Source organism: Homo sapiens, chromosome 2 (genome assembly GCF_000001405.40).
Source record: "Homo sapiens chromosome 2, GRCh38.p14 Primary Assembly".
In the NCBI taxonomy this organism is placed as follows: Eukaryota; Metazoa; Chordata; class Mammalia; order Primates; family Hominidae; genus Homo; species Homo sapiens.
The window spans coordinates 142,130,622-142,138,802 of NC_000002.12; the positions used below are offsets into that span (position 1 = coordinate 142,130,622).

At 36.3% G+C, this 8,181-nt stretch overlaps 1 protein-coding gene across 2 annotated transcripts in view, besides 1 other annotated feature; it reads right to left on the reverse strand.

Moving 5' to 3' along the window:
• Window positions 1-395, reverse strand: part of LRP1B (LDL receptor related protein 1B) — a 1,899,594-nt gene extending 1,899,199 nt beyond the window's left edge. For both annotated transcript variants that reach the window (NM_018557.3, XM_047444771.1), the window contains exon 1: window positions 27-395. In NM_018557.3, coding sequence (NP_061027.2) covers window positions 27-108 — 82 coding nt within the window. In that variant the 5' untranslated portion in view covers window positions 109-395. The remainder of the gene's footprint in view (window positions 1-26) is intronic.
• Window positions 263-1,462: an enhancer, noted in NCBI's record as "BRD4-independent group 4 enhancer chr2:142888453-142889652 (GRCh37/hg19 assembly coordinates)". NCBI's record gives its function as "activates an origin of replication core promoter dependent on BRD2, P300/CBP, MED14 and CDK7 cofactors, and independent of BRD4, by STARR-seq in HCT116 cells {active_cell/tissue: HCT116}" and the evidence as "EXISTENCE:reporter gene assay evidence [ECO:0000049][PMID:35650434]".

The following is an 8,181-nucleotide window of genomic DNA, read 5'->3' on the forward strand; positions in this document are numbered from 1 at the left end:
GGGGAGCGGGGAGGTGTTCTCCTTACCTCGGTCGGCTCCCACGGTCAGCACCCTGGCAATCGGCAATAATCCCGAGAGAGTGAGTAAGGCGAGGAGAAACTCGGACATTGTGGTCGCCCGGTAAGGAAGCCTGCGCTGGAGACTGCTCGGCGGCACCTTCGGCCCGGCGGCGGCGGCGGCGGCAGGGGCCGCTTGGAGCCTGGAATCGAGCGGCGTCATTTACAAATGTCACTGGAAATTCTTCAGCTCAATGAGTCCAGCCAGTCAGCCTTCTCCTGCCTGGAGCAGGATGTGGAAGGTGGAGGGATGCGCGCGTGCGGGAGAGAGGAGGCAGAGCGTGTGTGAGCGCGAGCGAGACGCCCGTGTGTCTTGACTTTTCAATGCAGGGTACGTCTGATCTTACATCACGCAAGAGGGGCAGTGAGAGATGCCAGCGGATGGGAATTCACTGATTAATCACCGAATCCACCACACACCCCTTCGTCGTTCACATAAATCACATCTATTACTTAATAAGAGGCATTTAACACAACAGGAAAATACCACCGCGAACGGAGAGCGCCACAAATCACAATTATTTTAATCCCCTTGAAGGGAAAGTAACTCGAAGCTGGTTCTGTGGGGATTTGGGTCTTTGGAGAAGGGAGAGACTTCTGCATTGGCCTGAGCCAGCCAGGCGCCTACAATGCTCCGCAGTTCACAGCCAGCTGAGAACCCTCAGCCGAGCACAGGGCTGCTTCTGCAGGCAAAACAAAGCTTCTCCCTTCGTTCCTCGGAAGCTTCCTTCCCGGGAAGGAAGGACAAGCCAAGGAACAGAGCTTCTCTTAGGGAAATGGTTTCCTCGGCTCTACACAGAATCCCAGTACTTCCTGAATTGCACTTTTAACTTTTATGCTGAGCAGCACCTGGGGACAAAGAGGCAAAATTTAGTGACTCAGCAGAAACAGAAAGCAAAACAACCCCCAAAGTCATTAACCGTTGCGTAAGAAGGGAAGGTTAATGGAAAAGGCTATTGAGGTCCCCAGGCAGGGAACAATAAAGCAACGAATTGGCAGCGTTTTTCTCTGGGGTTCTGTCTTTAAAAGGGTACTTCGAGCCATTTTAAACAGGCTTTGAGGGTTTTGTTGTTTTTGTTTTGTGTTTTGTTTTGTTTTCCTTTTCCATATACTACAGGGGCGGTGTAAGAACTTTCCCGAGCCATCGGAGGCATCAACGGGAATCACTGGAATAATAATATTAGTAAAGTTGTTTTTATGACCACTTAAGTTTACAACATGATCATCCCAGTCCCTAAAATTTTAGTTTGCCATTACAAAGTGGCTACGGAATTAAAACTCAGAAATCTTAATAGTTGTAGACTTACTTTCTTCCTTGTAACATCAGGAATTCTCTTCTAAGAACAAGAGTTGAAAAGGTTTTATATTTAATATTTTGAAACTGGACATGAGTGGAGAGGAAAACTATGAGAAGGGAACAGAACTAAGGAAGAGAACGATTGAAAAGTGAAGGAAGATGCTTTAAAAGCTTTATTTACTTTGCTGTTTGAGACTTATAAGTGAATGCCAGCATTACTATCTACCTATTTATGAGAGTAAAATTATCCAGAAATATCTTTAGATGCTCCTTTGAAGCCATTAAAAACTGGACTAGATGAAAGAACACAGAGATGACTTTGCAGAACATTGTCAATAATCTGTGGATTTCACCTTTTTATTCTTACTCTGTGATTATAAATGTATTTTATGTCACTTTTTCCATGTTTTAAATTATAAAGTTTACTTTCCCTTGAAAATACAACCATTTTGTGTTTGAAATATGACTCCTACATTCAAAAGTGTATGCTTAATTTTTTTTTTTTTTTTTGAGACGGAGTCTCTCTCTGTTGCCCAGGCTGGATTGCAGTGGCGCGATCTCGGCCCACTGCAAGCTCCACCTCCCGGGTTCACGCCATTCTCCTGCCTCAGCCTCCGGAGTAGCTAGGACTACAGGCGCCCACGACCATGCCCGGCTAATTTTTTTGTACTTTTAGTAGAGAAGTGTATGCTTCTTTTCTTCTAAAGTTGTTACATGTCTAATTTTTCCTAGATGTTTTTATTATTTCATAATATAGTGTACAATATAGAATAAAAAGATTTTTTTACATATTTTACTTCATACTGAAAATTCACAAACTTTGAAATGAGTGGCAGAGTTTAAAGAATATGTGTGTGTGCGCGCGTGTGTGTGTGTGTGTGAGAGAGAGAGAGAGAGAGACAGAGAGAGATTTGAATGATGTGCCAAGTAATAAATGTTTCTTTCTCGAGGGTCCACAGACCTCTGTATTGTATGACAAACTTATTCACTGGGACAACGTAGCAGGTGTCTTTCTTACATGATCCCATTCAGTCAACTAGAAGGTCAGCTATTAGGAGATCTGTATCCACTTAACTCTTGGCAAGAAAATGAGGAGTGCTTACAAACCATACTAAGGACATCCAGATTCTTCCTCTTCTGAAAGATTACCACCAATCGCCCTCCACTTCACTGCAAAGTAAAGGAAAGCAGCCAGGAACAGTATGACCCACCAAAGACTTTTACCACATACTAAAGTGCCCCAATGCTATGATTAAAAATCACTAACTCATTCACTTCTGTAGTACGTGCAGCAGCCCTAGATTCCATGGTCAGCTTGGAAAAGGGAAAAGCTAGGAAAGATCATAAGAGTAGCAAATACTCAGGAGATTTTGTATTCTAAATATACAACATTCCAAATACGTAGAGCCTCCTAATAGCCTGTTAAATGAATTAGCCAGAGTAAAAACCATATGATCTTTTTAGATCATCTGGTTGACTTTTTTATTTCATTGAGTGGAAAAAAATCAAAAATGCATTGTCTGCACATTGTGACCAGAATAATAAAGCAAAATAGAATTCTTAAGTAATCACCAATTAAGTCAGTAATCATGAATGACATAGGACTCAAAACAGTTACTATAAAATAGTGATAGTAAATATGGAAGATTAGTTACTAAAGTATAGGCTGGAGCACCAATAAAAGGTAACATGATAAGCCTAATTTCCACTGTGAATTAATCTTAATGAAGTATTATCTATAAAATAAAATTTGCAGCTTTAGGCTGGACACAGTGGCTCACACCTGTAATCCTAGCACTTTGGGAAGATGAGGTGGGAGGATCACGAGGTCAGGAGATTGAGACCAATCCTGGCCAACATGGCGAAGCCCCGTCTCTACTAAAAATACAAATATTAGCCGGGTGTAGTGGCATGCACTGGTAGTCCCAGCTACTCAGGAGGCTGAGGCAGGAGAATCGCTTGAACCTGGGAGGCGGAGGTTGCAGTGAGCCGAGATCGCGCCACTGCACTCCAGCTTAGGGGACAAAGTGAGACTCCATCTCAAAAAAAAAAAAAAAAAAAAAAATTGAAGCTTTATTTTAAGACCATGATTAATAAAGATCTAAATGGTATAAAACCTCTCTCAAAAATTTGGTGAAAGTATAGGTGCTTAGGTATGCACCAGTACTTAAGTGGACAACAACACATGAACTTAAATGCTTGTTAAGAGTTTTTAAGACTAAAATTTATACTAAGGACACTGATTCATACCAAGAAGCCAAAATATGAAATAAACAGATTAAATATTAAGCAGAAAATATATATTTGCTCCAAAACTGAAATAAAGCCGGTGTCAAAATGAAATGGGATAAAATTGTCTGTCCCACATCAAATCTCTTATATAAAGTGGTTCTTCTTCCAGATATTCTTTGAAAATGACCAGTTTATAAAAGAAGATTGGTTTCTATGAGCATCAGTGAGGTTGATAAAAGTGTAGACCAAATTTGAGCTTTAAAATTAAATAATTTGCTCCTAGGTTTTAAATGACCATTGAATGTTAATGGATCATAAATAAATGAAAAGCTTAAGTATAATTTTCTATGAAATACTTTTGTTTCCCCATAATATATGCTTTAATGAAAAAATAAATTAATAAAGTGCACTATTAGTGAAGAGGGAAAAGCTTGAGTGAGCGTTCGAATTTTGTTTGTTACTAGGCTCCATTATAATTTATTCATTCTAATCAGAGTTATTAACACTGACAAGTTAAATTAATTCATCAAACTATAGAATATTATGAAATCTCTCATTAAGATAAATTAAACAAAGTAGAACCAATCATTCTTCCTTTTTGTTTTAAAACAACACATGAATGCTAATTATCAGTCAGTGGTAATCTTACACTTCCCAATTAGAGCCACAGTTTCCATACATGTGATCAAACATCACATTTCATTTCTGCTAACTTAATTATTTTTGTGAGATTGGATTTCTTACTGTAGATAGTAACAATTTGTGCTACACATCTGAACATCGTTAAGTTAGGGAGAGGACGTGTGTCTAAACAAGCTGGAGCTGACAGTCTGTCTCATGGAAGAGATGTGTGTGAAGGAGAGTTGGCCTGAAAGTTAGGTTGCTAAGGATTTCTGCAGCTATCATTGCAAGGCCTGCTAAGTTTCTTACCCTGCCTTTTTCCAGACAGAAAAGTTGCCAGGCAGCAGCAGACACAAGATGAAAAAGAAAGGGAAGAGACTGAGAGAGACAGGGGGCGGAGGAGGTAGAGAGAGAGAGAGAAAGGATTATTAAGGAAACATCATCAGTTCTTTAACTTGAAACAGAGTTACTCTGGACAAAGCCTCTAAGAAAAATAAAAAACTTTAGATGCAAGTTATTTCTCAAACTGCAACAGATCAAGGCACATTTTTAACCGCTTTTCTTCAAAAGTGGGTTCTGTTTTTCAGCATACTGTCTCAATTAGGATACAAAGATTTGGTTGAGATAAATAAGATTTTGGTGTAACTTTAATTTTTACTATTAAGCAATTATTAGGAGGTATGCACAATTGAAAAGAAAATTAAGAGTGATGCAATTATCTAATTACATCTGGAAAGCAAAAATATTTCCAAGACAATTACATTGGTCTTCTCTTTTTATATTTTCAGCTTCTCTTTACTGTTACTATCTGTAAATGTTTTAAGACATAAATATTATGGCAAAAAGCATGACTGAGGGCAATTATAAGTTTCAGAAGACAATATAAGCTTTAAATACTGATTTGATTATTTGGATTTTTTCTGACTCTTGTTTGATAAACTTTTGACAGTAAAAATAAAAGGAGTCTACAGATTTAGACAAAGCCAGCAGAAGACTTGAAAGACTAAAGGTTATATCATTTTTTTCATTTTTTAAGGGATTGACATCCATAATAATAATATAGTCTGAAGATATAAATCCTATTTTGCTCTTTGGATATGTCAAGAGAAGGTACAATTGGTAATATTGCCATCCGTGTGTAGGTAATACAAAAATGTCAACAATTCATCAAATCCTTGTCACTCCACTCACATGGAATTAGCCCTCGGGTTTTAAGTCAGTTGCTGATTATAAGGTATGTTGCTTTGGTACTTTTAGACCCTGACATATGTGTGTTCAATACGAGCTCCACATTGCCTTCTCCAGACCCAGAATAGAATTAGTGTATCAGGTGGAGGGTTGATTGTCAGTGGACATGGTCAGGATGCACTTTGTCTGAATATGCCCTTGTGACATGTTTCTACCTATGAATATTGATCTCTGACCTTCTTTCTGGTCATCATCTTGCTGCTCCTTAATTATAATTAGAGACTTTAAGATTGTTGGAGCTGGGAGGAGCATTCAAATAATCTACTCCAATTTACCGTATTTTGCAAATGAAAAATTTTTAGAGAAAGAAAACGTGACTAGTCTGAAGTCACACATTTTATTAATATCAGAAATACACCTTGAATAAAGCTTCTTGAATGCTTCCCGTATTATGTAGTCAGCTTTGTTGGTATTCTTTTAGTTTTTGTTGTTGTTGTTGCTGTTGTTGTTTGTTTTACTTCCCAGAAGTGGTAGCTCAGAGAATATGAATTTATTCATTCACTAAATATCTATATATTATGTGACAGACACTGTATTTAGCACCATGCATATAGCAATAAGGATAATAAACATAATTCTTGCAGGAACATAGCATATAATCTAAATAAAATATTAATATCATTCTTCTGCTAAAGGACTGACTTTCCAGTATCAGCATGTAAACCATCCTCTCAGAAACCACAAGCATGACACATAAAGGCCACTAATGGGATCACCCAGTAAAATCAATGCTGCATCTTTCTTGGAAAGTGTCTTCTAGTCATAGAGAAAACCCAATTTCTATTTGAATTCAACAGTGAATAAGAAATCACAAAATATATTTAAATCACAACATACTTTGATCTAGAACTTGGTAGCAAGTACAGAAATGTTAAGAACTTTCAGAAATATCAACAGTGATACATGCCTACATGTTCATTAGATTCTACGGACTCTATTCTGTTGTGGGGTCACATAAAATCAGGACAAAAAGAGAATTATAAAAGTCATTCAACTCATTCTTTTATTTGTTTTTATTGTAGCTATTAATGAAGACCTATTTGTGACCCTTTCAAGCATCTTATCCCCTTTAAATAATAATTTCCAACTTCATATCCAATTCATATTTTTTCTTATATTTACTTTTTATGTAGCCTTTAGCATTTTATAATTTTCAACCCCCCAAAAATGTTCTTTCTATATAATACTTTCTCCTATAATAGGCACTCAACGGCAATTTGCCTTACTGTTGATTAATGGCTTTCCACTTCTTCCCTTGAACTTATTTAATATCTCTTATCTCGGCTGTTCCCTGGTCCTTCTGCCATGGAATACATCTTTATATCTGAAGTAATCAGGATACTACACCGACAAAGATAGAGGTTGGGCATGGGCCATGGACAGGGAGCTGAGAAGATGAGATGCCAGAACCCTATGACTTACACATAATATGTATGTTAATAAAATGAATGACTGTTAAAGTGTCAAAAAGTACTTAGTAGCTATATTATCTTAGGCCAAGTTTATTTCTTTTTGTTTTTTACTTTAGAGGGGGAGATTGTTTCCTTTGCTTTTTTTTTTTAAAGAAGAGTAATTATCTTTTTCTATTCTTTTATCAGAAGTGGCCCTCATATAATAAATTAGAGAAAAAAAACAGTAAAGAGAAGCAAAGAAATTTTAAAAAGGAAAGAAAGATGAGAAAAACGTACCTTTCTTCAAAGAGCATCTTGCTTAATTCACACTCAGAATTGCTTTCAGGAGGCTGTCAACAACTCCATTTGGGCACAGTGCCTGTCACAGAGTAAGTATTAAGTAAGTGTGTCATAAGTGACATTTACTTAGAGGAGGGCTTTTAGATTTTTCTAAAGTTTGTTTTAAAGAAAAACTTACAAAACTAACTTCTCTAGAACATTGTTAATTTTTTAAGTAAAAAAAAATTCTCTCAGAAAATGTGTCTTGCCCTCTAAAAGTGTTTTTCTATTATGAAAATTATACTTTTGAATCACAATAAAAATTCAAAAGCAAAAAGGTGCTTTTTAGCCCTAAATAGAATGCCTTAATTTTATGTCAAGTCTCTCTTCATAGAAAAAAAAATGGTGACATTTGGACTTAAATATATTTACCAAGATTTGTAAAAATATGTGACTTTATGGATGAATCCTAGCAAAGTTAAATTACGGTTGAAAGATTATTAAATGCTTTTATAACTTTTTATTGCTACATTCTGCAATGTAAATAGACTTTACCCAGGGTATCATTCATATCATTCTGCAAACCCTACTCTAAAACAACAACCACAAAAATGAGCGTGAAGATAAAGTTATTCTCAGGTATACAACAGAAGAGGTAGGAGAGGATGAATACCTTGAACATAGAATGACCAAGAATATATATGATTATTATTTGGAGTTTATATTTTTCCTTGTGATAAAATGCATTTACTTCTAAAAGAAATGTCAATTTTGTACTTTTAGATGTATATTAATCCTAATTTATTCTAACCTAACTTTTTCTTTTTTTTTTTCTTGGTGAAAGAAAGTGAATAGAGATGACAGGAAATAGTTTCTATGCTCTTTACTGAGCTTTGCCTGAAAACACTATAAAACGAATTGAAAAATAAAAAAGTACATGTATATATAAATATATAATCATAAATTGACTGATATTTGGATAACATGTAAAATTGGTCAAAGGATTGTTGATATTAGTTATCTAAAACTAAGGAGTTTAATCAACTTGGACATTTCC